The sequence below is a fragment of the Homo sapiens genome, chromosome 1, assembly GCF_000001405.40.
Source record: "Homo sapiens chromosome 1, GRCh38.p14 Primary Assembly".
NCBI classification, from domain to species: domain Eukaryota; kingdom Metazoa; phylum Chordata; class Mammalia; order Primates; family Hominidae; genus Homo; species Homo sapiens.
Genome location: NC_000001.11, coordinates 200,890,804 through 200,917,410, shown reverse-complemented (window position 1 = coordinate 200,917,410; position 26,607 = coordinate 200,890,804). Strand labels below are relative to the sequence as shown.

The following is a 26,607-nucleotide window of genomic DNA, read 5'->3' as shown; positions in this document are numbered from 1 at the left end:
GGCCTGGTGTAAGATACTCCTTCCTAGGGATACAGCCTCTGCACTCACTCCAGGGGGAAGCTGCAGGAGGCAGACCCTGCCCATTTACCACAAAAGGAATTGGTTGAGTAGGGCCAGTGCCGGGTTCCAGGGTCAGCTTCCCATTTCTTCCCCATGGGAAGATTCGGGACCCTCTGAAGGGCCCTGGTCCCTCCTGATTTGCCTAGTAGTCTTCCATTCTGGGATCTTCCAGCATAGAGAATCTCAGACTCACAGGTGGGCTCCTAGGTCACAGTGGCCATCCCTCTGCCTCCAGGCCAAATTGCCTCTGGGAGTCTTGCTGCTAAAATCCCGAGGTCCCCTCTTCCCAGAGGCTTCTGTCCCCACCCCCTAATTCATAACCTTACTTCTGCCCTATGGTAGGGGAGCTAAGAGCCCCCACATGTCTGCCCCTCCCAGACATGGCCCAGGGAAGCCTGCTGGTGGACCAGGAAGAAACTGCTGTGCAACCTGGTTCTCTCACCGCCCTGCACTTCGGGTCCCCAAACGGGCGCGTCCCATCGCTCACTGCCTTAAAGGGCCTTGCTCTGCCCCTGTGTCCGTCTCTTTTGTATCCCCCCTCTTAGCTGGTCTCTGTCCTGTTGTTGGGAGCTGCCCCTTGGACAGGTCATCCCCTGGGAACTTGCTCACCCTGTTTTCCCCGGGCCTAACTCACCATCGTCTAAAATACAGAATCCAGCGCCCCATTCCCCACAAATAATAGGTCGAAGCGCTCAGGTCTGAGATCAGGATACCCCACAACTTCTCCAGAGACCCTGGAGCCGTCTCCCCTCCCCTACCTTCCCCAAGAATGGAGTGCCCCAGACCCCTGAGGCCCACAGATCCCCGCGGCCCCCAGGGCCGCACCCAGGCAAGGCTGGAGGCGCCCCTTGGGCAGCGAGGGCCGGGGCCCTTCCCCGCCCCTTCCTTGGCTGTGGAGGGAACTGGCGGGAAGGGGGACCCCTTTACCTGACACGCCGGCGCCTCAGGTCCGGGCACAGCCTCTCCAGGGGGCGCTGTGCTCCGGGGCCCTGGAGCGGTCCCTGCAGGGCAAGCACGGAAGTGTCCAAGGTGGCGCTCCCCGCCCCTGGCCTCAGTGGGACCCCAGGCAGCGGAGGGGCTGTGGGCACTCTTGCCGATGGGGGAGGGGCCTGCGGAGAGCCCCGCCTCCTCACCACCCCAAGGAGGGGTCCCAGTCTTCCAGGTATGGGGAAGGGGCTGTTTCTCATGAGCCTGGGCTCCGGGCAGTCAAAGCTCCAGGAATGGCTTGGAGGCGCTGAGCCACCCATCTCTACCCTCTGCCTGGCCAGTGCCCTGTCCTTGGGGAAGTGACTCCCACAGGCCAGCTCCTCAAGCTGAAGAGGCTGTAAGGAGCCTTGACAGGGGTTGTGCTGGCTTCCACCCTGCCCCGGAAGCAGAGAATCTGAGAGCCTCCCTCTACCACCCAACCCATCACACCAGCTCCCCAGGGACCTGGCCAGACCAGCTGGAGGGGCCGGGCAACTTGGCCACCTTGGCGGGCAGCCCAGGGGGCCGGGCTCAGCCTCTGCTCGGGGAAACCTGGCGCGCGCGCGCGCGCACACACACACACACACACACACACACACACACCAAAAAATAAAAATAAATAAAAATAAAAAATCCCTCATCCCCAGCTCAGCCAATCACAAAAAACAGACTTTATTGAAGTATTTAGCACTAAACCCCACACAATTCCAGCTCTGTAGCTGAGGACACAGCCACTTGGCAATGGCACCAGGTGTTATACAAGACCAATAAGTTAATGTAAAGGACGCTTAGGTGTGGAGGGCCAGTGCTCAGCCGTCTCCTGGCTCAGAACAAGGCACTCTGGGCTCCAGTTAGGACACTGAGAGGCCAGGGAAACCAACATGCCCTGGAGAAAGGGGCTTAGAGACAAACCGGAAAAGCACAGCATCCAAGCAGGGTATTCACGCATGGGGGGCAGAGTAGGCCCAAAAGTTGGGGGTTGCTGATGCGGTAAGAGCACAGTGAGAGAAATGCCAGGTGCATCCCTTCAGCCTCCTGCATCCTCCCCCAGGTTCCTTTGATGGGCCATCCTGGGTCTTCCCTTGGCACCCTTGTGCAATCGGCTACATCGTTTTCTTTCCAGTAGAGAGAACTGTGCCTCTTCTAGGTCAGACACCAGAGTTCTTGGAACCTTCTGCTATATTCACAGTCTGTTCCAGTCCAGGTAACATGGGGGCAGAGAGTTCTGCACAGGTGAAGTCAGAACTCAGCTCTCCCTACCTCTCCTAGCCTCAATTCAGTTGCTTTCTCATTGAAGCAGGTCCCCTGACCTGGAAGCAAAGAAGGCCCTAGGATGAGAACCCAGGGACAGCTGGGTGGTCTTAGCACAGGCAGCTTCCAGACTTGCTCCAGTCGCTGCAGCTGGGACAATTAATGAATGCCCCCAAAGAAAATTCAGCATCTCATCAGCCCTTGGGAGTGAGTATGTCCATGTTTGTATAAATAACCACCTTCTCAGAGCAGAAGCATAGCTGGTGGGGGGAGTAGGAACTGTGACTCCCTCTCCCAACCAGAACATGCCACAAAAGTGGTGCCTTTCCAAAACCACTTGTAAAGTATTGGTTTTTGGGACTATGATGAAAAAACGTTAGAAGGGCCAGGTGCGGTGGCTCATGCCTGTAATCCCAGCACTTTGAAAGGCCAAGGCAGGTGGATCACTTGAGGTCAGGAGTTCGAGACCAGCCTGGCCAACATGATGAAACCCCATCTCTACTAAAAATAAAAAATTAGCAGGCATGGTGGTGCTTGCCTGTAATCCCAGCTACTCGGAAGGCTGAGGCAGGAGATTCGCTTGAACCCGGGAGACGGGGGTTGCAGTGAGCCGAAATCTTGCTACAGCATTCCAGCCTGGGCGACAGAGCGAGACTCCATCTCAAAAACAAACAAAATGTTAGAAGGAGCAGTGGGGCTGCAAGCCCTTGAGATGCCCAGAGGTAGCTGTCAAAGGGTGGCTGCTGTCCACTAACCACAAGCATGGACCAGCCCCCAGCCAGACCCCCTGAGGCTACAAACTGTGATGCCACTGACTCAAAGCTCAGGGGTCTGGGAGCCCACAGGGCATAGACAGGGTATAGTGACTGGGTCCCTAAAGAGGATTTAGGGGGTCAGGAAAATAGCAGGGTCTAGCAAGACAATACACCACCGGGATATACTGACCTTTGACCTACCACTTGGTGTGTGCATCACAGAGCACATTAGAAAAGGGGGAAGAGATTCTCCCCCAGCCCAGGCTGGGGTACCCAGAGACCTGGGAAATGGGGGAGAGTCATGTGCATGAGTATGTACCATGTCCAGCCTCCAGCAATAGTGGGACAGGAGGGCCAGGGGCAGTTCCCCAGGGAATTTCTTAGAACCAGAGCACAGAGCGTTGGAGAACTCCCAAGGTGGCTCACTCTGCTTCACTCGTCCCCTGCCACTTGTCTTATATAAGGAGATAGAGGCTGTCAGTCAGACAGGCAAGGCCTTAAGTCCAGTAGGCCAAACTCTGGGGGATAAAACATAATCATATCACAGGGGTATTGAGGACAATCCACATATATAAATCCTTAGGTCAGGGCTTCTGAAAAAAGTCGTGTAAAAAAAAAATAATAAAAGGTCTCAGCTCCAGGTCATCGGCCTGCGATGGGGATGGGGGAGCTGAAAGAGGCACTCAGGGGTGGGGGGGTCTCAGCCCAGCCCCTCTATGAAACAGTTTTTTCCAGCGTGGGGCGCAGAGTTACACCTGGCTGATGATCTCTCCTTTTTCAGGTACAAAGACTTGCACAGGGGCCCCATCAGGCGATCTCCGCAGCACACAAACTGTGGGCACCTGCCAGGGTCAGGAAGAAAGGACAGGTGGGTAAATGAACCAGGCAGAAAAGCGGGGACAGCAGGCACAGTTACACCATCCTTATCCCTTAGGGACACTGACCAGCAGAAGCAGCAGCAGCAGCAGGCCCTGGCACTCAGCCCCTTCCTCCCAGGATGCTCTCTGTTCTTCAGGGACCCCCTTTACACATTTTCCTCCATGTTCTTTTGGGGTGTGACAGGCGCCCTGACCTCCTCCTCCCCCACCTTTCCTGGGCTCACTTCTCATCACCCTCCCTGTCTGGCACGTTGGGATGGGCTGGGTCTATCCAGCCAAGGACAGGCCCAAGCGCGCAGAAAGGGAAAAGCACGTCAGCTGGAGGGCGCGGCCTCGGACCGGGGCCAGGGTGCTGCCAGGCCCAGGATGCCAGCTGCAGTCCAAAGAACCGTGGGTGGGGGAGGGACACGCAGCTGGGTCTGCTGGGAATCTGGGGTCTCAAAGAAGCAGCTTGTTGGTAACTTCTGGAGCACATCACCTGCAGAGCCCTCCGTACCAGGGAGAAAGAATAAAGAAAGGATTCCTGTGTGTGGCTCCCCACTTCCAGAATGAAGAAATAGGGGCCAAGGAAACCAAGGCTGCCACCCTACCCAGTGTCAGGGTGCTCTATCCTATATACTACCCTCCAGCCTGCTCCCTGGCCTCTGTGGCCCCAGATGATAATAATATCACATATCTAGCGCTTACCATGCATTGCTCTAATCATTTCAGCCTCTTGGCAGCCCTATGAGATAGGTACTCTACTACTCTCATTTCACAGGGGAGGAAACACTAGGTCCAAAGGGGTTAAGTAACTTGCCCAATCATACAGCTCGTAAGTGGCAGAACTGGGATTTGAACCTGGTGGTCTAGCTTGAGGGTGGGTGCTCTTAACTCTGATGCCACCCTTCTTCTCGGCTTGGTGGTGAGGAGGGGTGTCAGGGAGGATGCTGATGCCCAGAAAATCACAGGTTCTGGCTTCTGCAACTCATTTCCTACTCTCCCTTTGTCCTAGACCTTCAAATGGAAATCTGAGGGGCTGATTTGGACTGGACTTTTGATTATGAAGAGGCTTATCTGCTTTGTGCATCATCATTTAGGGAGAGAAAAAGTCTCAGCTATCTTCGGGGATCATCTCCACCAGTGTATATGCTCTTGAGCTAGACATGGCAGGCAAAATTAGGAGGTGCCCCAGGGAAGCCAAGAGTGCCTTCCAAAGCCAAGAGGAAATGATTTTTTGGCCTGTTCTTCCTAGACGGGGATTACCCGGCCACTAGGTTGCTGCTTTGATGCCTCTGTACCCTTGGACATACTAGAATTGCAGCCCCTCCCCAACAAAACAGCCCTCCTGCCTGGCCCCGGGGTCCCTCCAGAGCAGCCGTACCTGTGCCCGGGGTCCCAGGGCTCGTCCGAAGCCCTCTCTCCCAAGGGGCAGGCTCCTGACCCGGAAAGCTCCTTGGCGGTCCAGTGAGTGGGGGCGGGTGCTCCGGAGGCGTGCACGCTCGTGCCACCACTTGAGCTCCTCGGACACGGCGGCCTTGCTGAGCCCCCGGCCTGCCGGGCTGTCCTTCAGGGAGGGCGTCCGCACGATGCGGCTGCGGGAGGGCACCAGACGCTGGTAGCGCAGGGGAGTGCCCTCCTCCTCGTAAGCAGGGCCCGGGGCTGCGCGGCGCAGCTCCCACTCGCCAGGCGGCAGGGGGCTCTCAGCCACCACCACGTACCGCCCCGCCGGGAAATAGCCAGGCGGCAGCAGTAGCTTGGGGTGGTGGGCGACCAGCTCTCTGCTGCCGGCTGGGACCCAGGCCCCGCGGTGACGATGGGTCTTGGGAGGGGAGAGAGGCTGCAGAAAGGAGATGTCGGGGCTGCTGCTGCCCGGCGAAGTGGGGTGGGAGATGCTGGAGACGTCAGAGCCACTGTCTTCTGAGCAGGAGTGGCAGGCGGCGTGGGGCAGCGGGGGCTTGGTCGCGGGAAAGCAGGAATCTGGCACTGTCACCGTGTAGTGAGTGGGGCGGCGGCGGGGAAAGGCGCTGCGACCTCGGCCCTCAGGACCCGCCCGGAAGGAATCCACCCTGAAGAGGGAAAGAGAGGCATTCTGAGTGTGGGGGGCAGAAACTCCACACTGGGGTTGGGGCGGGAGGTGGAGTTAAAACAGGTGAGTCCTGCTCTACCTCAAGGCCCAAGCATGGCCCTCGTGCAAGGGTCTTAGGTCAAGTCTCCCAAAGCAAACCAACAAACCCTCTGCCGGGCTGCGTGGGTGCCAACGCATTCCTTCCCTGTGTGCAAAAGTGTTCCTGCTGCATTCACAAGCTTGTGATTCGTGTAAAGTGTGCTACATCAAGTAGCACATTAAGTACTTTTTTTAAAGTACTACATTAAGTACTTTTTTTAAAGTACTACATTAAGTACTTTTTTAAAGTACTACATTAAGTACTTTTTTTAAAGTACTACATTAACTACTTTTTTTAAAGTACTACATTAACTACTTTTTTTAAAGTACTACATTAAGTACTTTCAGCTTAGGTACACCGTGTCCAGTGGCAGATCATCCACAGCATCTGTTCGGTAGGCACTGCCAGGTACCTTACTTGAACGTGTAAAAGCTGTCATGTGGTACCCAGAGCAGTTACCTGCAGCCCAAGACCGGCAGGGGCTGAAATCCAGCCTTCACTTCACTCTACTAATGCACCCAGGTATGGGGCTGTGTCTGCCTTTTCCTAATTTGCACAAAGGCATGGTTTGTAAAATGGCCCTCGTAGCATGTAAAATATAAAATCTATTGCTGTGTGGTGGCGGACGCCTGTAATCCTAGCTACTCAGGAGGCTGAGGCAGGAGAATCGCTTGAACCTGAGAGGCGGAGGTTGCAGTGAGCAAAGATTGCGCCACTATACTCTAGGCTGGATGACAGAGCAAGACTCTGCCTCAAAAAAAATTTAAAAATTAAACAAAATCCATTGCTTTACTTGAGAGCAGTTGTCCCAAGCTGCCCCCAGTTCAGTGCTGCCTGACCAGCCAATTTAAGCTGATGGAGAATTCAGCAGTGCTTTCATGGTGCCCCAGTCCCCATATGGTATGGCCAATACTGCCTGTCAACGCTTAGCCATTTAAACTATTACCAAGTAGCAGATGACTTAGAAAGTAACATACAGTCAATTCTCATTATTTGCAGATTCAGTATTTGTAATTTTCCTAGTTGCTAAACTTTATTTTTAATCCCCAAAGCAATATACACAGTGCTTTCATGGTCATTCTTGGACACTGCAGAAAAGTGACAAATTTGAGTCTCTTTAAGTTCTGAGGTTAAACGAGGCCATGTTCTGCCCTCATGTTTCAGTTCTCATGCTGTAAGTGCACAGTGTCCTTTTTGTGGCATATTTATGTACTGTGTGTGTTTTTGCTTTGATTAGTGATTCTGCTGTTTAAAATGCCCCCAAATACAGTGCCAAAGTGCTGTCTACTGTTCCTCCCTAAGGCATACTGGGAAAAGGCTGTGGTGTGCCTTGTGGAGAAAATATGTGTGCTAGGTAAGCTTCATCTGGGTATGAGTTACAGTGCTGTTGGCCATGAGTTAATGAATCAACAACCCATATTAAGTAAGGTGTCCTTAAGCAGAAACTCACATAACATAAGGTTATATATTAATCAGTTGATGCAAAATGTCGTGACCAAAGGCTCACGGGAACCTAACCCTATATTTCCCCAGGGGCAAGGGTTCAGTATTTGCTAATTCAGGATTTGCGTCAATTTTACTTTATAGAACATAACTACCACAGATAATGAGAATCAACTGTGCATCAATTGAAAAAGTGAGTTGCCTATTGTCAGTGACCAATAATAATCTACCAGCACAAGGAAACATGGCAAGGGTAGAAAATTTGAATCAAGTTATGCAAAAAGACAAAACTAGAGTCTTTGGAAGAAAACCACTTGCTTCATGGATGGCCTTTGGCTTAGTGGGGTGCAGTGCATTCTCTGTCAAGAGGCGCCCCAAGAAGAGATCCTAAGAGAAGTCAAGGCACTAGCCATGTGTCACCCAGGGTTGTCCCACCTGTGTCCTGGGAGCTCCCACCCTCCAACGATAAGCTCTAAGTGGGTCCCCCATCTCTCTGGGGAAGCTGTCTCTTACCTCAGAGACTGCGACTGGCCCCTCCTCCCCTGTATCTCAGGGGTGGCTGGGGCACTGGTGCGGCCCTGCCACTGGCCAGGAACACCACGGATGGGAACCACGTGGTAGGAGGCAGGCTCCAGAAGCCACAGGCTGGAGGCACTGGGCCCATCCTGTGGTGTGGTGGCTGGGCTGCTGCAAAAGGATTAGAGACAGGTCAGTGGCAGGAATGCCTCCATTCAGGGGCTCAAGAGGTGCAGAAGAATGGGGATGCAGTGGAAGGGGCTCCCAAAGTTAGTAGGGCAAACTGCCAGCACCCTTGGGGAACTATCAAGGCTCACACCTCCATCCCACGACTGCAGGAGCTCTCTCCTCCACCTTTCCACTTTTCCATCTGCCCAGCCTATAGCCATCCCCAGCATAGCTCCCACCGACTCCCTGCCCTGCCCTGCCCTTCTCCCTTCCCCCTGATCCTGACCTGGACTCGCTCCAGGGCTCAGAAGACTTCCTGGGCTTCTCATAGGGGTGGTCCAGGCTGGTTTCCTTCCAGGGGCTGTTCTGGACTGGAGCCCGTTCTGGGCTCCCAGCCTCAGGTCCTGTTGGCTGCAGACCCTCAAGGGTTTGGGGTGGGAGAGGCCGAGAAGGTGGGGCTGGAGACTCTGGAGGAGGTTTTGGCACTTGGGATTCCTCTGCAGGAGTAAAAGAAACCTGGTAAGGCCAGAGGCTGGGGGAACCGGCCCAACAAGAACCTCCACAAACCACAGCCCATGCCTCGCCGCTCTCCCTCCCATGCTGGCTTGTGCAGCTGCTGCAGGCCATGGCTCCAGCCCTAGATGCTCAAACATGTTTTCTTCTCCTTTGGGACTTACTTCTTCCCACACAGCCCTATTTTATGCCTTCCTCCTTCAAGAAGCCTCCCAGATTGACTCTCTTGGGCTTACAGTGCTCCACTTTCTAACCTTTGTTCCTGGTACCATGTCTGCAGTTATCTTTTGTTTACCTATTTTTCTTGTTCCTGCCATGCCCATATGGCCTATTTATTTCCTTATTGGCTTGGGCACTCCCCTGGGCAGGACTGCAACAGCTTCTCGATCCACCTTGACCCTGGCATCCTCATGGTTTGTACACAGGGTTCTTAATCTATAGACTTGTGTTTCCTTCCTGCTCCCTTCTTTTAAAAAACAGCAATGATTGTGGGCAGATTGCTCTTTGGCTCTGACTGGTGCATCTTGAAATCACACCCAAGGGTGAAGGAGGGACATCTGGGGTTGATCAGCTCTCTTGGAGTTCACCTTTCCTTTCCCTGTAAAAATAATGAGCTTCCAGAATGGGAGATGATCGCACATTCCCCATCTTCAACTGAGCATGTGCAAGGACATGCGGAAATTGACATGAAGTCCAAGCGGAAACCCTAAGCCTGGCACCCTAGCCTTCACTCCCACTTAAATTCCACACCAGCAAACTGCCCAAACCCCATGGTCTTGCAGTAGGAGTCCAGCCTTGACAATAGTCCCCCAAACGTCCTTCTCACCTTCCTCCAGGAGGAGCCCATCTGACAGGGAGCTGTCATCAGAGGCACTGAGCTCTGCGAAAGACAAAGGGGAGAGAAGAGAAGGAAGTGAAGAAATGAACAAACAGATATGAGTAACCAGCAGTGCTGAGCAGCTCAGGCCTGATCACTCCCCCAGGACAGCATCAGTTATGAGGAAATACCCTCTGTGTGCTAAATACACATTGGGAGTGATTTTTTTTTTTTTTAAGAGACAGGGTCTTACCCTGTGGCCCAGGCTGGAGTGCAGTGGTGTGATCATGGCTCACTGCAGCCTTGACCTCCCAGGCTCAAGGGATCCTCCCACCTCAGCCTCACAAGTAGCTGAGACCACAGGGGCATGCCAGCACACCCAGCTAAATTATTTTATTTTTTTTGTAGAGAAGAGGTCTTGCTGTCTTGCCCAGGCTGATCTTGAACTCCTAGGCTCAAGTGATCATCCCACCTTGGCCTCCCAAAGTGCTGGGATTATAGGCATGAGCCACTGTGCCTGGCCTGGCTGTAAACTTACTACATGGAAGTAGAAAAAAATAGAAGGCAGAGCTAGGAGACAGGAAACCTGATTTTAATCCTGACTCTGATACTAGCTATGCAACCTTGAATAAACCATTTCAATGCTCTAGACCTCAGTTTCCCCACCTGTCAAAAAAAAAGAAAAAGGGTGTCCTCTGGCAGGGCTTCTTGGTAGTGGAAAGGAAAGACAAAGGGTCATTTTGGAAGGCCCTTAGGATAAAAAGAATTTCATGGCCAGGCGCGGTGGTTCATGCCTGTAATCCCAGCATTTTAGGAGGCCAAGGCAGCAGATGGCTTAAGCCCAGGAGTTCAAGACCCACCTGGGCAAGATGGTGAAATCTGGTCTCTACAAAAAATACGAAAATTAGCCAGGCATGATGGTGCATGCCTGTAGTCCCAGCTACTTGGGAACCTGAGATGGGAAGATCACTTGAGCCTGGGAGGTCGAGGCTGCAGTGAGCCGTGATCACACCACCGCACTCCAGCCTGGGCAACAGAGTGAGACCCTGTCTCAAATAAAAAAAAGGGAATTTCACTCTAACTTTTGTATAATCATCTCACATCACAAACACAATTCAAAGATCCCAATGTGAGACCTCCTGTGTTACCAACAACAAGAGGAACGCAAGGTAGGAATTTGAATTTAAGATAAGGTCTGGCCAGCTGGCCCCAGGGAAGTTTCTTCAGTTGGTGATCTGGCAAGTCACCTGAAGGAAATTCAGTGTGACTTTACTTCATGGTATAGCAGCACTTTTTACCTAAGAAATCAGAGGGAACTCATTTGTGCTATTGCTTTTGAAGAAACTTAAGCCTTCAGATTTTTTTTTTTTTTTTTTTTGAGATGGAGTCTCATTCTCTTACCCAGGCTGGAGAGCAGTGGTGTGATCTCGACTCACTGCAACCTCCACCTCCCAGGTTCAAGCGATTCTCCTGCCTCAGCCTCCCGAGTAGCTGGGATTACAGGCACACACCACTATGCCTGGCTAATTTTTGTATTTTTAGTAGAGACGGGGTTTTGCCAGGTTGGCCAGGCTGGTCTTGAACTCCTGACCTCAGGTGATCCACCCACCTCGGCTTCCCAAAGTGCTGGGATCACAGGCGTGAGCCACCACACCCGGCCAGGCCTTCAGATCTTGAGAATAAGCCTAAAGTGACCTGGATGGAACTCACGAAACATTTTCAACTGTGTTTGAGAATGAAGATGAGGAAAAAGTAATAATTGCTAATGTTTCTACTGTGCCAATACATTTCTAAATACAGCACTTTATATATATTAATTCAGGTAATTCTCATAACAACCACGTAAGGTAGATATTATCACCTGCAAGTGACAGTTGAGGAAACCACGTCTCAGAGGAGTTGAGTAACGTGGTTTAGGTTATACATTCAACAAAGGTGGTTGAGTCAGAATTCACACCCAGACAGTCTGACTGGAGTCTGCTCTTAACCACAACCCTTTATGGGCTCTCCCCTGTGAGCTTGCATCTCAAATGCATGGGCATTGCCCAGGAAGTTTCAAAAAAAGTAAAAAGTTCCAACCATCTTGAAATCCCTTACAACAGAGGTTAGCAAACTATGGCCCAGGGGTCAAATCCAGTTCAATAGCTGCTTTTGTAAATAAATGTTTATTGGAACACGGCTATGAATTTGTTTATGTAATGTCTGGCTGTTTTAGCACTGAAGTAGCAGAGTTGAACAGTTGTGATAAAGACCAAAGAGCCTACAAAGACTAAAATATGTACTGTCTGGCTCTTTATGGAAAAGTTTGTTAACCTTTGCTCCACAAAGGTTTAACCCATCTTTTTAAAGATGGGTTGTTACAATGTTGCCTAGGCTGGAGTGCAGTGGCCCGATCACAGCTCACTGCAGCCTTGACCTCCTGAGCTCAATCAATCTCCCACCTCAGACTCCTGAGTAGCTGGGACTATAGGTGTCCACAACCATGCCTATCCAATTTTTTTATTTTAGTTATTTGTAGAGACAGGGTCTCCCTGTGTGGTCCAGGCAGGTCTCATACTCCTGGGCCCAAGAGATCCTCCTGCCTTGGCCTCCCAAAGTGCTGGGATTACAAGCTTGAGCCAACATGCTCAGCCTGCTCCGCAATTTAATGAAAAAATCTTTACCCAGAGCAGGCAGTAGATTTCTAGGACATACGGTACCAGGAGCTGGGCTTGACTCCTGAGTAGCCAGCCAGCCCATGCTTTGCTTGGCTCACAAGTAGCCTTTGCTTTAGGGTTCAATTAAAGAGACCCCCTCTTACTGAATTCTGGTCTCCTGCCTTTGATCTTTTATAAAAACCTTAGGAATAAAGATTTTCATTGGGCCAGGCACACCTATAATCTTAGTTACTCCAGAGGCTGAGGCAGGAGGTTTGCTTAAGACCAGGAGTTTGAGACCAGCCTGGGCAATATAGCAAGATCCCATCTCTAAAATAGTTTTTTTGTTTTGTTTTGTTTTAATTTGCTGGGTGTGGTGGCACATGACTGTAGTCCCAGCTACTAGAGGCTGAGGAAGGAAGATCACTTGAGCCCAGGAGTTCAAGGCTGCAGTGAGGTATGATCACACTACTGCACTCCAGCCTGAGCAACAGAACAAGACCCTGTCTCTAAAAAGATTGGAAAAAAAAAAAAAAAGATTCAGGTTTCTGAGAGCTGCTCACTATCTCAGCAACTGTCCCAACCCTGCCCTAGCTCAGCGTTCCCCTGCCCCGCAGCAGCATCGCAGGACACCCCAGACAGAGGGGTAACGGTGGAGATTTTACTCACAAATGCTGAGCTTCCCCCAAGGCTATGCTGTCCAACACAGTTGCCACTAGCCGCATGTGGCTATTTTCATTAAAACTAAATAAAGTCAGTTCCTCAGTCACACTAGGCACAGTTCAAATGCTCCATAGCCACATGCAGCGAGTGGCTACTGTATTGGACAGCACAGATACAGAACACTTCCACCATCTCAGAAATGCTATGAGCGGCCAGGCGCAGTGGCTCACGCCTGTAATCCCACCACTTGGGAGGCCAAGGCGGGAGGATCCCTTGAGGTCAGGAGTTCGAGACTAGCTTGGACAATTTGGTGAAACCCCATCTCTACTAAAAATACAAAAATTAGCTGGGCGTGGCAGCACGCATCTGCAGTCCCAGCTACTCAGGAGGCTGAGGCAGGAGAATCGCTTAAACCCGGTAGGTGGAGGTTGCAGTGAGCTGAGATGGCTCCACTGCACTCCAGCCTGGATGAGAGAGCAAGACTCCGTCTCAAAAAAAAAAAAAAAATGTTATGAGGATGTGGCTAATGGCTGGTGTTGTTGATCAACAGATGCATCCAGAGTGCCTATTACATTGCACAGGTGGGTGCTGGGTGGCCCTCATGCGGTTCACTCTAGTAAATGAGCTCAACACCTGACTGCTCCCTGCCACTGCAAAGTATGGCTGATGACTCTCACCTAGCAGTTACTTTCCCAAACTAAATTACCCTTGTATGGAGCCCAAGGGGGCAGGGTGGTTTTTTATTTCGGTTTTTGGGTTGTTTGCTTTTTTCCCTTTTTTTTTTTTTTTTTTTTGAGACAGAGTTTCGCTCTTGTCACCAGGCTGGAGTGCAATGGTGCAATCTCGGCTCACCGCAACCTCCGCCTCCTGGGTTCAAGTGATTATCCTGCCTTAGCCTCCCGAGTAGCTGGGATTACAGGCATGCGCCACCATGCCTGGCTAATTTTGTATTTTTAGTAGAGATGGGGTTTCTCCATGTTGGTCAGACTGGTCTTGAACTCCCGACCTCAAGTGATCCACCCGCCTCGGCCTCCCAAAGTGCTGGGATTACAGGTGTGAGCCACTGCACCTGGCCTCCTGTTTTTTTGTTTTGTTTTGTTTTTTGTTTTTGAGACAAAGTCTCACTCTGTTGCCAGGCTGGAGTGCAGTGGCACGATCTCGGCTCCCTTGATCCTGGGCTCCACCTCCCAGGTTCAAGGGATTCTCCTGGCTCAGCCTCCCGAGTAGCTGGGACTACAGACATGCACCACCATGTCTGGCTAATTTTTGTATTTTTAGTAGAGATGGGGTTTCACTATGTTGGCCAGGCTGGTCTTGAACTCCTAACCTCATGATCCGCCCACCTTGGCTTCCAAAAGTATTGGGATTACAGGCATGAGCCACAGTGTCCGGCCTTCCCTTTTTAATTCAAAACACCTCAGCTACTAATAATTCTGCTTTACTTCCTCCTTTCTAGGAGGGCTCGGCTGGGCAGAGGAGCCACAAAACAGAAATTACTTGTCTAGAACTGATCCCTTCTGTGCTCTCACAACAGGACTTTAGATCCCAGGGCCTGAAGTTGGCCAGTGGGATCTTGATTCCTGATGTGGGAAAGTCAGCAACTACACCAGTTGTCTCCTCTCCACAGCTCTGTCTTCACCTGTACTGAGGGCTCCAAGGTTTCAGAACCTCATCCTCCTGCCTTCCACAGAGCCCCAGGCCAGTCCTGGCCTGCTCCCGACTCCCAACAAGAAGCATTATGGGTCACAATGGCAGCATCAGGGTGACACTCCCCTGCCACCCATCATGGGCAGAAGCTCCCAGCAATGGCAGCCCCGGTGGGCAGGGGAGGCTGCTGAGCAGTGTGAGGCTGGACCGGGGAGCAGGAGGCGCTGCAACCAACGGGCATATCTCACCACCCTGACCTCTCCCTGCAGGCACAGAGCAAGTTGGCCCTTAGGGGCTTCCATGTCCAATTCAGCAGCTACCTTTCAAGGTTGCTGTCAAGTCCTGGGATCCCTGTTGAGAGTGGAGTAAGGTTGTAGAACTTGTCTTCCATTAGAGCCTCAGAGACTGGGAGTGTTGTTCTGCGGCCAAGCCAGAACCACTGGAACCGGACAGAGGTCTGGCCATTTTCCCTGGGTCAGCCCCACTGTCTTCTGAGTTTACTGGGTTAACTGTCACATGGAGGCACCTCCTCCTTTATCACCTACTCTTGGCTGCGGGAGGTGACCTGGGTGGTGTCTGGTCATGCACTTTCTACCCTAAATTAAAAGCCATGGATAGGAGCAGGGACTTCTGAGACCTGTGCTGAGATAACTCCCTGCCTGAGGCATAGGCTGCAGGGCACAGGGACTAGCAAGGGCTTTCCAGCTTCCCCATGACTGCTCCCAGGCTGAGGAGTAGTCTTGGCAAAAAGCCAACACGATATGCAGGGATGGGAGCCTGAGAATGTGAATGAAGGCCGAGACCTCTGAATCCAATTCTGGATTTTTTTTTGCAGGGCCACGGCCTCATTCCCTCCCGGTTCCCTCTGAGGCAGCCAGGGAGGTCTGGGTCCCATGTGAGAGACGGGGGGCAGAGCTGAGTCATGGGCCTGCTGCGGTGGGGTTTGGAATGGAGAGATGCAAGTCCTGACCTGACAGGCTGGCCTTGGGTCAGGACAAAGGAAAACAGTCACACCTAAGGGCTCAGAACCACCTGTTGGAAGCTAACCTGTGGTGGACACACTGATGTGATGTGGCAGCACCTGGGCATCAACAACTCACTAGGTGCCCCCACGGCCACTAGTCTCTGGGCCAAGGAGCTCAGGGATTGAACTACAGACACAAGGAGGGCAGAGAACAGACATGGAAGGATCCCACCCTTGACCAGGGTGGTTGTAGATACTTAAGGGGCTGTGGGGTGTGGCACCAGTCCTGCTGGATTTCAACCTGAACATCTCCTAAGTAGCTGTGGGCCCCTGAAACAATTCAGTGATCAGTAACACATAGCAATCGTCAAACCCTTTGCTGCCTAACTCAGGCCAGGGGACTACACATCAACTCAGAGCCTTGGGCTCACGGGAGCCTCACACTACCCTGACCCAGAGATGCCATCACCCTGTGGGCCTGGAGGGCAGCGGGGCCAGCCTGGGCTACCCAGTTGAATACACCTTGGATTCAGCTCAGGGTCAGCTGAGAAATATCTCTGTGTAGGAAGTCTCTTGAAGGTAGTGTATTTTGAGGAGGATACGGAAGGAGAGAGTAGGGTGTTTTCTAAGGAGACGGAGAAGAAGACCTCACAGGATGGGGAAGCCTTGCTGGAGTTGGAGAGAATCAGGATGGGGTGGAGCTGAACCCAAGAATCAGCTTTACCCAGCTGGAGCCAAATGCAAAGGCAGTGGCACGGGGCTGTGCGCCCACCATCCCTCAAAAGCTCATTTAAGGAGCATGGCCCCCCTCAGGGCAGCCGGCTCACCTCGGCCCAGGGGGAGAGCAGCAGCCGGAGGTGGCTCGCTATTGCGCCGCCGCTCGACCAGGCAGCGCTGGAGCTCCTGCAGCTTCTTCTCCTCCTGCAGCATGGAGTGCTTCCGCTGCCGCCGAGCCTGCCTGCTGAGGTTCTCCTCCAGGCACAGCCGACGGGCTGCCTCTGTGATCTGCAGCTGCAGGGCCAGCTGGCGCTCCAGGCTGCTTAGGGGGTCCTGAGAGAGGGGGCAGGAGTGAGGCTAGAGAGAGGCAGGGAGATTGGGGGCCCAGAGGGTGGACAGCAGCCCTGACACAGTGCTCTAGGTCCCAGTCCTAAGCCCTGAGGACAGAAGAGAGGCAGACAGCAGCACCAATGGACGGACGTGGAGCAGAGGGTGAAGGAGTGGGAGGAGCCGAAAAGCAAACTTGTCAGCCTGAAAAGCTGGCATGGGCACCCACCCACCAGCCCACCTGCTGAACCGGGCAGGGTGGGAACCCAAGTGGGACACTTTCCCTCCTGACCCCAAAGGGTGGGGCAGGCTGGCCCATGGGAAACTGCTGCCATTGACGCCACAGGGGAAGGGCACCCAGGGCCTGACTGCCCCCACCTCCTCCTGAGAAAGGAGGACAGCCCTAGGGGCCAGAGTAACCTGTCTGAGCAGGCTATTGCCCGCTGGGTTGGTGGCTGGTGCTCTTAACTGATCTTCTGCCCAATGGGGTCAAACCCAGTGTCCTCCCTTGAGCTCCCAGCTCTCGGTTCCTTAGTGGCGCCCCTTCTCCACAGCCATTTGGGCTACATATTCATGGTGTCTCTCACCAACAGGCAGCCAAGCACCCTCACTGGGTGTGAAAGGGTGGAAGGGAACCTGCCAGGGTACTGAGCTGAGGTGTGGCGTCTCAGTGATCAGCTTTGGGGATCGAGGGGTACTGGCAGCTTCCTGAGGTTCCTCACCTCTCTGTGCAAGGCCCAGTCATCCAGTTTGTAAGCCGCTCCGATCCTGCGGCGAACCTTGGGGGCCTTTTCCCCTGGTTTGAGGGGATACTCCGCTGGCAAGGTGCCCGTCAGCTCCTGGGGAGGAAGCAGAGACCAGCCAGGTCCTCTCCACCTGCCCAGACTTGGCTCACTGGCCCCTGCACTGCATGTGCCTGCCTTCCATAGAAGCCCTGGTGGGACCACCCTCCACCCCACCTCATCCCATCCTCCACACTGTCTCTCCTGTCTTCAGACCCACTCTGCACTCCTCCCCTTTCCCTTCAGACCTCTTTCTGATCACTTCCTCCAGAGCTACACCGACCCGGGTTACAGCACTCATATGCACTTATGTCTGTGCAGTCCCTCTGCAGCCCCTGATGAACTTTGTTCTCTGTGCCTGGGCCCCTGCCTGGGTCTGACTCTTCTCCATCCAGCACAAGGTCAAACACTGCATCATGGGGACTCTGGGCCCCAGCCCCCAGCCTGATGTCCAGAATTCCCTCAAGAATGGGGCTCCCTCTCCCCAGCTCCCGCATCCCCACACGTGGCTCCACAGCTCCTGAGATGAACCCGATGCTTGTGTGTGCTGGCTGGGGCCTCACCGCTTCCCGAAGGCAGAGTCTCCTCAGCTCCTCCAGGCAGGCCTCCAGCCTCGCTTCCAGGGCCCTCTGCTGCTTGTGCACTGCATGGGTCAGCTCCTTCATTGGGGAGACCGGGCTGTCGGGGCCTGCAAGGGTTGGGGGGCACATGCTCAGGGAGGCTGAAGATGGAAGCCTCCTCCGTTACTTATTGACCACCCCTAGGGGAATGCACATGCACACACATGCACACACACACACACATCTCATGCCTGCCCACAAATTGCAGGCTGGCTGCTGTGGCCTGTGTCACAGCCACAAAACACCACGTCTCTTGGCTGCACAAATGTTACAACTCAGAAGGGAGGGTCGTCCCACCAGGTGACCTATGGTGGGGGAGTGCAGGGGAGGGAGTTCTGCCGGTGCAGTCCTCCCCCCACTCCTCCTCCCTTCTTCTTCCTCTTTTCCTTCTCCTTCTTCTTCCTGTCTCTCTCTCTCCCTCTCCCCACTACCCCTCTCTCTTGCACACACACATAAGCCTCTTCTTTCTTGTCCTCTGTCAAGACTAGGCCAGACTAGGCCCACAGGTCTGGCCAAACAGAGAGGCAAGACCTTCACATTGGCCAGATGATATATTTTTTTTGAGACGGAGTCTTGCCCTGTCGCCCAGGCTGGAGTGCAATGCCGCGATCTCGGCTCACTGCAACCTCCGCCTCCCAGGTTCAAACGATTCTTCTGCCTCAGCCTCCCACATAGCTGGGACTATGTGGTAGCCAGGATGGTCTCGATCTCCTGACCTTGTGATCCGCCCACCTTGGCCTCCCAAAGTGCTGGGATTACAGGCATGAGCCACTGTGCCTGCCTGAGATTTTTCAACTTCTCAGCTGGGGCTAAAGTTGAACATTGCAGATCCCTCTTCCAGATAGAACCAAAACTCCAAGCCAGTTTTCTCCAGGGAGGAAAACTCCACATGTCCCTGAGGCTCCAGCCCTTCCAGAACCTCCCCCTCCTCCCAGCAGAGGCCTCTCCCTCCCCTTCCTCTCAGCCCTTGGGAGTCTCAGCCCAGCCAGCCCTAGTGCCTGAGGGCTCAGGACTCAGGAGTCAGGGCCAGGGACCAGGGACCAGGGACTAGGGACTAGGGCAGGGGGATTTCCCTGAACACTCACCAGACTGCAGGATGATGCCACTGTCGGTGTCGCTGACCTCATCCTTACTCTCCATGGTGGATTTCTGGAAGGAGAGGGCACAGAGCAGGGAGGGGGGACACCGTGACCAGCCTGGGCCAGGTTGTGTAGGTAGCCTGGAGCTTCCCCAGCTTTAAAGAGAAAAGAGAACAATAACAAAAAAGCTAGATATGAACCATCTTGGTTACAAAAAGCTGAATAGATGCTTGAGAGCAGGGGAGTGGAAGGGAGGACTGTGCTTCAGGAACCATCTGGGGCAGGAGATTCTGGCACTGGGGGTGCTGACCTAGAGAAGGGGCTGTGGGCCTCACCAGCAAACCCTGTTCTCAGTGGGCTCTCAGGGGCCCAGCCTAACTCCCCTCTGGGCCAAAGTCCTCTAGGCCTAAGGGGGTCGACAGCTGTGGTAGCCACAAGAACCGCTCGACTGGGGAGAAGGGCAAGAAGGAAAAGAGCAGAGACAGGATAAAAAGGAAGGGGACAAAAAATGGGATGGGATAACAAAGAAAGGAGGAAGGAAGCCCAGCATGGTGGCTCACGCCTGTAATCCCAGCATTTCTGGAGACCAAGGCAGAAGGATAGCTTGAGCCCAGGAGTTCAAGACCAGCCTGGACAACTTAGACCCCATCTCTCCAAAATGAAACTTAGCTGGGCATAGTGGTGTGCACCTGTAGTCCCAGCTACTCAGGAGGCTGAGGCAGGAGGATTGCCTGAGCCTGGAGAAGTCAAGGCTGCAGTGAGCCATGTTCACGCCATTGCACTCCAGCCTGGACAACAGAGAGACCCCGTCTCCAAAAAAAAAAGAAAGGAGGAAGGGGAAGACATCTTTATGGGACACAGCTATCCTCAACCCAAGAACCCAGGAGGTGTGAGGCATGTCCTACGCCCCAGTGGCTGAGGACACTTCAAGAAGTGGGCAGGCACATGGCCAAGGCCCTGGTCTGGGGCCTCCGAAGTCCAGGACGCCCACTCTCTGAATTGGCGCCCTGGACTCTGAACTTCACATCATCTGCAGATATGTGCAGCCACTGTATGCCAGAGAGCTGTCCCAAAGCCCTCAAACAACTTTCAAGCCATCAATTACTCCTGGGAGACCACTGAAGGGGAATCAGCCTAGATCCCCTACACCCCACAGCCAGGGGAGACCCAGGGCTGTGTCTATCAGGGTTGCCAAGAGTTGACAGGAGAGGGGCAAGCAGTGACTAGAGCAGAAGCTGTGCAAGGACAGAAAGGAGATCACCTGCTCCTCTGCCTGCTTCGGGGTGGAGAACACTTGGGTGGTACAGGTGCCATCCCATTGTGTCGGCTCAGCTAGGGACCAGTCACCCAGATAACACCTGTGCCCACCCCCTCTCCCTCCTCACCAACCCACACCCCTGGTTGGGGTCCCAGCTGGCCAGGGCCTGGCAGCTGCTGGCTGCAGCAGGGGTGGGAGGGGTGGGCGGAGCCCATGCAGGTGGTTGGGTCTGGAAAGAGAGCTCAGCCACCTCCTCACTGAGTCAGCCCATTGAGCAAGAGTCCAAAAGTCCTTCCGAGTTTCTGTCTGGAGCCTATCCTGCCTCCTCAGAGCGCGGGGCCGCAGGGTGGGGGAGGTGAGCTCCACCCCTCCTCAGGCAGCCAACACGACAGAAAAGTCGGCCTTGGGAAAGCTGGTAACAAAGCAAGGCCAACAGGGAGAGGGGACTGCTGTCAGCCAGGTCCCTGGTGATACCTCTCCACCCATCAAGATGATAAGAGCAGGACGATCAAGAACTTTTATAGACCTACATAAACAACACAGCAACCACAGGCAGCAACAATCAAACACAAAGCCCTGAAAGCAACATGTACCTTGCACTTTGGAATTTCAATTATTCAAGGAAGTCTAGAGAATGCATGGGAGAATTATTTTTTTTAACTTTATGGGAGGCCTTTGCAAACATGCCAAAGTTCTGAAAGATTGGCCATATATTCTGGAACCCCACCCCGCAGGATACTTAGGATGACTATTAGCTCTGCACTGTCCATCTGTCCCAAACTCTATCCCTCGTAGAGATAAGAACAGGACAGAGGAGCAGGCAGCTCACCCCCACCCCTTCCCACCCACCCTAGCCATCCTCCCACCCTCCCCAGAAGCCAAGAGCAGGGTGCAGCCAGAGGTAGGAAGCAAGGTGGTCTCAGCTAGCATGCTGAGTGTGTCTGCTTTGCACAGAGGAGGAAGTAATGTGGGAGGGGAAGCCATTAATTAGTCACGCTTGCTAATTAATTATTAACCACTAAGTAGTTGCCTTGGAAAGTTGGGCCAACTCAGCCCCTGCTTCTCAGGGGCTCTGAGACTGTTGCAGAGGAGTGGGGACTTACAGGGACAGAGGGGTACCTTAGCACGCCTCCCGTCTCCGCCAGCTTCCCCTTCTCCCAGCTCAGCCCAGTCTCTGACTGCCAGCATCAAAGGGGAGGCACTGATCTTCCCAGTGGTCCCAGCCTGATGCTGGGTCCTCTCTGGGATGACTTGCTGCCCCAAGTAGAGCAAAGAGAACAGCGTCAGATGCCCAGAGCCCCTGGCTGTGGGCTCAAGGCTTGGTTCTGCTGCGGTCTGTACTACCTTGGGGAAGTCACCAGGCCTCCCGGGGCTTCCTTTCCTCCTGTGCACAATAAAGACTGCACAGTGTCTAAAGCCTTTCCAGGTCCCCGGTCTGAATCTCGACCTCTTGGTCAATGTCAGGCCAAGAAGGAAACCCGTACAGCCACATAGCGGACCCTCACATCTGCCTCTGCCGAGGCCGCCCTCCACAGCTGTAGGGAACCTGCCCCAGAGTCAACAGGTGAGAGCGAGGGCACCACCCCCACCCAGGAGGCTATGAGTCTTAAGTGTCTAAGGCATTGCTTTTAGATAAAGGCAGTTCAGGTAACATCCCCACCCCCTCCCTAACACAGGGATCCCTCCTGGGCCTCTTCAAGCTCCAGTACTGGGCCCTAAAAAGCAGCCCACCCGGCTGAACAATGTCCCCAGAAAAAGGCAGAGGAGACCAGAAGGGGCACAGAGGGAGGGAGGGAAACTCCAGAGCACCTTCCCTCAGGCCGGGCCATGGGGGATCCTCCTCTATCCCAAGTGTGTCCCCCAAAGCCAGGTCTCAGGCCTGCCTGTCCCAGCTCATCTCTGCTTGCTCTCCCTCTGGTGGAAACTAAGGCCTAGGCAACCACAAGAACAGGCTCCCGTCCAAGCCCACCAGCACCCCTCTGTCATCCCTACACACCAGACATAGGCTGGCGGGGGTGGGGGTCGGAGGGGGGTGATGGCCACTGCTTGGGCTCCTCCACTCCCAGGCCAGCCTGCTCTCAGCCCCAAAGACCCATTCCACCTCCCCCGCCCTCACCTGCTTCTGGGCTTTAGTCCAGGAGTTGAAAAACAGCCCCTGCTTCCAGTCAGGGGGCTCAGGGCCCTCACATGTCGCCTCAGGGTCTCCCAAGCCACAGGCCTGTGCTCTCTCTCCAGCTGACGGAGCTGCTGGCCGTCCGTCCGTCTCGGCTCACCTGCCTACCTTGCCGTCCCTCCCAGGCTGCCGGGCCAGGGGAACCAGGTTACTTGTTATGACTTGAGTCAGAGGGGAGGAGCAGGTGAGCAAGTCCTTCCCTGAACTAATCCCGTGCAACTGGTGCCAGCAGGCAGCTCCTGGGCCTCTGCACTTCCGGGGGGCAGGAGGGTAGCAGGGAAAAAGGGGCTCCCATGGAGGAATCCCCAAAGAAGACAACAACAAGAGTCATGTCTTCATGGCCTCAAGAGACCCTAGTACAACATTCTGAGCTGTGAGGTACCTGCGTGCCCTCCTGTCCTGACCCTGGCTCTCCCTGCCTTCCTTTGACCTCAGTTTCTCTTTCCAGAAATTGAGGCCTGTTAAGCACCCCGGAAGCAAGGTGAAATGTCCACTGTCCATGGAAAAAACAAGCAGGACATTTACAAACTGACAGGGATGGGTCACTGCTCTTCCCCACATATGGAAATGAAGACCAAGGCCTGGGTTTTATCTCTCCCGAGTGAGGATTTTAAAACCTCAGGCAAGGCAGCTGGAATTCCAATATGCAGAAGTTCTAGAATCCTAGAGAGAGAGGATCAGGCTGTTCTTTTTATCCCAGACATTGTCCCCCAAGGGTATCGAGGCCATCACTTCTCTGTTGATTATTTACATCCATCCCCCAGCAACGCATGTTCATGGGGCACTGACAGGCACTGACCTGAGCCCAAGTCCTGTTTCCTACTCCACAGGAGGTCCACTGTGACCCCAGACCCTAAGTCCACTCCCCAAATGCAAGGAGCCAGAGACCAAAATGGAACTTATTTCCTATAAAAAATAAGCCTCAAGATCTCCCATCCCACCGACCCCCAAGCAAATGGGAAACTGGAATCTAGCCTATTTCAAGGCGGAAGCAGAGCTAACGCTGACTGTTGCCTGGCCTGTCCCCAGCAGGCTGCACCCCTCAAGTCTTCATCTTACCACCTCCCTTTCCCCCCACTCTCTGATCTTCCCACCATTCCCCCGACCCAGATTCCAGTGCCTCAATACATGTCTGGATTGCTTCCCCTCCCCCAGCCCCTAAAAAGTCCTGTCCCCACTCCCTACCCCCAAGTGCAGGGATGACAGAGGAAGTTTGCTTTCACCAGGCATCTCCTGTGGAGCGGAACTCATGGGGCTGGAGTCCCCCAGCATCCCCCACTGCTCCGGTACACACACCCAGCACACCTTCACATTCCTGTACACACCCTTTTTCCAAACAATGCTAGCCCCAGAGTGCTCCAGGCTGACCACCTCATTTTCTGCCCAGGCTGAGGCTGAGGGGCCCTAAGAGGGGACAGTTCTTCCTCCCCCCGCCCCATTGGGAGCTTGTTCTCTGGGTCTCCCAAAGAGCCTGCAGCCCTGCCCTTCCCCAGTCCTCCGTGACACACCGTCCCTCCCCATAGAGGCTTGGCACTTTCTTACAAAGTCAAACAGAGAGGGGTTGACTCTGGGCATAAGCGGCCCTTCCTCCACCTTGCCCATCTCCAGCTCCAGGTGGGGGTTGGTGGAAGTTTCTACCAGCTGTGAATTGGCTCACAGTTCACATTTCTTGAGCATAAAATAAAATTAAGAAGATCACTAAAAAAGTCAATTATATGAAATAAAGTTCTAAAAATATAAAAACATAGCAATATATATGCTTCTTTATTAACATTAAGCAGGGTCTAGCAGTGGGTAATTTCACACAAGGGCTGAGTGTAAACAACATTTCAAGACTGCTGTGACTGCAGTGTGATATGAAACTATGAATTCTATTAATGGCAAAGTCACAGGTACTGCCAATGCTACTGTGATTTGTTGTCTTCATAACTAAAGGTGATGTTAAAATCTGTTAAAGGTTGGTGAAAAACAATGATATCTTTTTTTGCCTCACCTAGTTTACACATCCTCTGAATTCCATCTACAGATGCCTAATGCCAATGAACCCAGTTAAGAATCCCTGCCCTCAGGTAATCCTCCATCTCTGACTTCAGGGGAGGTTAGTACAGATGCTCAATCTCACTGTTTGCATTGATCCTTTGGAATTCTCAAAAACACCTTGCTCCCCCAAATTCACGCTCAATATTTCCCAACCTTGCAGAATCTGAGGTTTGGAAGGGAGCTGGCTAACCAAACCTCCTGCCAAGAACCCCGGGGAGCCATCCTTGGAGCTCTCTGATGGCCATGTCATTCAATTCAAAATACCAATGGGGGAGGTGGGCACTCCAGAGGCCAGCTGGGAATCTGAAACAGCTCCCCACTCCAGTCAGGCCGGGGAGTCAGGGGACTGATGCCCCAGCCCCAAACCCCAGAGTGCCGTCCAGACCACCAGTTGGTGAGGAAGTGGTATTTCCTTGCAAAACATTATAGTACTTGGAATCTGATCTTTGCAGACAAGAGCCCTTCCCCAGGGAAGAGAAACTGGACCTCTTCAGTGTTTTCGTTTCCTGAGGAAAAGTCCCGAGTCAGAAAACTCTTCCCCAGCGCTGTAGCCATCCACTCTCCATTTTTTTTAAAAAAAAGTTCCTTCTTTTAGGGTCTTCTGATAACACCAGATTGGAAGTTCTTTAAAGCAAGGGCCTCGTCCTACCATCTTCACATCCCCAACAGCCCCCAGCAAAGTAGTCTCAGGCACTGCTAAAATCTTACTTCAAGAATTAAGGAATCAATGGCCAGCGCTAGAGACAACAGTGAAAAAAGGAAGAAGTGAAATAGCCCGGGACCCTCCAGGCAAGAGGGGTAGGAGATGGTTCCTTCACTGTTTTCTTACTCGCGTCTGCTCCCTGCTCACTAGGAAAGGTGTTCGCCTCCACTAAGCAAAGGTGAAGTGGGCTGGGACAGGGGAACTCCAAGCCAGCTTGGAATGCGCCCTGAAATGAGACCTCTAGGCTTTCTCTAAAAAGCCCCTTTGTCCTGTCCACCCTGCTCCCCTCCCCCACTGCGCCCTCCACATCCAGGCTGGCCCGAGACTTTGCTCCTTTTGTTTGGCTGCTTTCTGGCTTCCCGGAACCTGGCCAGGAAGATCCACAGGCACGAAGAAGGTCGAAGGAGAAAGGTTGAGGGACTGGAAATGTGCATTTTTGGTAGGAACTCAGAATTCCTGCCCCTTTGAAAAAATTACCCCATTCCCTGTAGGGCACCCTCCGCTAAGGCTGAAGACCGTGGGTTCAGGGGCCCGATCCCCCGCCCCAGTTCACCCGCACTGGGTGCCCCGAAGTTTTCCCGCTTACCTGTCCCATGGAGCTCTGGCGCCGCCCGCCTGCCCCTGCGCCCTCCACTCCAGCCTCGCAGCTTCAGGACCTGTTTGTCCAGGCCATCTTCCCTCCCCCCGAGCCTCCCTGCGGCCTGCCCTCCCCGGAGGTATTTCATTTAACTTCGGCATTTGCAGCATCCCAAATGTTAAAGATCCCAAGACATCTGTCCCCTGGGGCATACCAAGGCCCAGAGGAAAGAGGGGAAGACGCAAGAAGGGACTGAAGAGTCCGATCCAAGAGTCGGGACGGGGCCGCACGCGGGAGTGACGACGTACCCGCAGGGGTGAGCGAGCTGCGGGAGCAGCCGCTCGAGGGGCGAGGCTGTCCCCTTTGCCCCGCTTTCGGACGCCCGCGCGGTGGGACACCCCTGGCGCCGCCAGTTTCCGCAGCCCAGGCGGGACGAAGCTTCTCTCTTGGTCCCAGTGCCGCCTTTCATTCGCGCGCTCTGGCCTGGCTGGGGCCAGTTTTCATTCCTGGAGACCCCTAAGTGGAAGAATGAAAGGAGCCTGCGGAAGGGCGCTCCCCCGACCCTGTCCTCCCCGCAGGCGCCCTCCCCCTCGCTGTGCGGCGCTGCGGGTCGCGCGGGGATGGCCCCTCTCCCCGGCCCTGGCCCCGGCCCACTCCCACTCCTCCCGCCGGGCCCGCTGGCTGAACTCCGGCTGGCTGAAGGGAAGGAGCACCCTCCCGGCGAGCGCCTCCTGCTGCCCGCTGCGAGCTGCTGTGTCCCCGTTCATCCATTCATTCACTTCCCGGTTTTCAGTTGTTCAATAAACATTTATTGAGCACCTACTAGTGCCCAGCACGATGGATCAAAGCTCAAGCCCCATTCACTGGAGGATTCTCCAATCTAGACGAGTGATGAAGCAGCACAGTA

The 26,607-nt window shown here is 53.8% G+C and overlaps 1 protein-coding gene across 4 annotated transcripts, besides 10 other annotated features; it reads right to left on the bottom strand.

The window, feature by feature from the left end:
* Positions 1 to 1,668: 1,668 nt before the first annotated feature.
* Positions 1,669 to 25,880, bottom strand: INAVA (innate immunity activator). 4 transcript variants are annotated; one of them, NM_018265.4, is made up of 10 exons: positions 25,710 to 25,880; positions 18,956 to 19,104; positions 17,814 to 17,938; positions 17,191 to 17,307; positions 16,252 to 16,474; positions 9,524 to 9,577; positions 8,471 to 8,681; positions 8,014 to 8,187; positions 5,274 to 5,958; positions 1,669 to 3,874 (listed from the first exon to the last, which is right to left on the bottom strand). In NM_018265.4, the coding sequence occupies exons 1-10, from the start codon at positions 25,868 to 25,870 to the stop codon at positions 3,782 to 3,784; spliced, it is 1,992 nt and encodes a 663-aa protein (NP_060735.4). In that variant the 5' UTR covers positions 25,871 to 25,880; the 3' UTR covers positions 1,669 to 3,781. The 4 variants fall into 4 exon arrangements, with proteins under 4 accessions (NP_060735.4, NP_001136041.1, NP_001354218.1 ...); NM_001142569.3 differs by lacking the exon at positions 25,710 to 25,880 and adding an exon at positions 22,324 to 22,511; NM_001367289.1 differs by lacking the exon at positions 25,710 to 25,880 and adding an exon at positions 22,324 to 22,511 and having other exon boundaries at positions 5,334 to 5,958.
* Positions 11,359 to 11,478: a silencer, noted in NCBI's record as "silent region_1682". NCBI's record gives its function as "represses an Ori minimal core promoter by ATAC-STARR-seq in GM12878 lymphoblastoid cells {active_cell/tissue: GM12878}" and the evidence as "EXISTENCE:reporter gene assay evidence [ECO:0000049][PMID:35858748]".
* Positions 19,183 to 19,772: an enhancer, noted in NCBI's record as "H3K27ac-H3K4me1 hESC enhancer chr1:200866767-200867356 (GRCh37/hg19 assembly coordinates)". NCBI's record gives its function as "activates a minimal SCP1, AML or CMV promoter by ChIP-STARR-seq in primed H9 embryonic stem cells {active_cell/tissue: H9 hESC(primed)}" and the evidence as "EXISTENCE:reporter gene assay evidence [ECO:0000049][PMID:30033119]".
* Positions 19,773 to 20,360: an enhancer, noted in NCBI's record as "H3K27ac-H3K4me1 hESC enhancer chr1:200866179-200866766 (GRCh37/hg19 assembly coordinates)". NCBI's record gives its function as "activates a minimal SCP1, AML or CMV promoter by ChIP-STARR-seq in primed H9 embryonic stem cells {active_cell/tissue: H9 hESC(primed)}" and the evidence as "EXISTENCE:reporter gene assay evidence [ECO:0000049][PMID:30033119]".
* Positions 21,084 to 21,594: an enhancer, noted in NCBI's record as "H3K27ac-H3K4me1 hESC enhancer chr1:200864945-200865455 (GRCh37/hg19 assembly coordinates)". NCBI's record gives its function as "activates a minimal SCP1, AML or CMV promoter by ChIP-STARR-seq in naive and primed H9 embryonic stem cells {active_cell/tissue: H9 hESC(naive and primed)}" and the evidence as "EXISTENCE:reporter gene assay evidence [ECO:0000049][PMID:30033119]".
* Positions 21,595 to 22,106: an enhancer, noted in NCBI's record as "H3K27ac-H3K4me1 hESC enhancer chr1:200864433-200864944 (GRCh37/hg19 assembly coordinates)". NCBI's record gives its function as "activates a minimal SCP1, AML or CMV promoter by ChIP-STARR-seq in naive H9 embryonic stem cells {active_cell/tissue: H9 hESC(naive)}" and the evidence as "EXISTENCE:reporter gene assay evidence [ECO:0000049][PMID:30033119]".
* Positions 22,107 to 22,617: an enhancer, noted in NCBI's record as "H3K27ac-H3K4me1 hESC enhancer chr1:200863922-200864432 (GRCh37/hg19 assembly coordinates)". NCBI's record gives its function as "activates a minimal SCP1, AML or CMV promoter by ChIP-STARR-seq in naive H9 embryonic stem cells {active_cell/tissue: H9 hESC(naive)}" and the evidence as "EXISTENCE:reporter gene assay evidence [ECO:0000049][PMID:30033119]".
* Positions 25,723 to 26,551: an enhancer, noted in NCBI's record as "NANOG-H3K27ac-H3K4me1 hESC enhancer chr1:200859988-200860816 (GRCh37/hg19 assembly coordinates)". NCBI's record gives its function as "activates a minimal SCP1, AML or CMV promoter by ChIP-STARR-seq in naive H9 embryonic stem cells {active_cell/tissue: H9 hESC(naive)}" and the evidence as "EXISTENCE:reporter gene assay evidence [ECO:0000049][PMID:30033119]".
* Positions 25,776 to 26,070: a silencer, noted in NCBI's record as "tiled region #6069; HepG2 Repressive non-DNase unmatched - State 1:Tss, and K562 Repressive non-DNase unmatched - State 20:ReprD". NCBI's record gives its function as "represses a minimal TATA promoter and a strong SV40 promoter by Sharpr-MPRA in HepG2 and K562 cells {active_cell/tissue: HepG2 | K562}" and the evidence as "EXISTENCE:reporter gene assay evidence [ECO:0000049][PMID:27701403]".
* Positions 26,161 to 26,280: a silencer, noted in NCBI's record as "silent region_1681". NCBI's record gives its function as "represses an Ori minimal core promoter by ATAC-STARR-seq in GM12878 lymphoblastoid cells {active_cell/tissue: GM12878}" and the evidence as "EXISTENCE:reporter gene assay evidence [ECO:0000049][PMID:35858748]".
* Positions 26,291 to 26,410: a silencer, noted in NCBI's record as "silent region_1680". NCBI's record gives its function as "represses an Ori minimal core promoter by ATAC-STARR-seq in GM12878 lymphoblastoid cells {active_cell/tissue: GM12878}" and the evidence as "EXISTENCE:reporter gene assay evidence [ECO:0000049][PMID:35858748]".

Coding starts and splice junctions, on each gene's coding strand:
- INAVA (NM_018265.4), bottom strand. CDS start 25,870: ATGCTGCAAATGCCGAAGTTAAATGAAATACCTCCGGGGAGGGCAGGC. Junction 16,475..17,190: donor ACTGGGCCTTGCACAGAGAG/GTGAGGAACCTC, acceptor CCCCTCTCTCAG/GACCCCCTAAGCAGCCTGGA. Junction 8,188..8,470: donor GAGCCCTGGAGCGAGTCCAG/GTCAGGATCAGG, acceptor ATCCTTTTGCAG/CAGCCCAGCCACCACACCAC.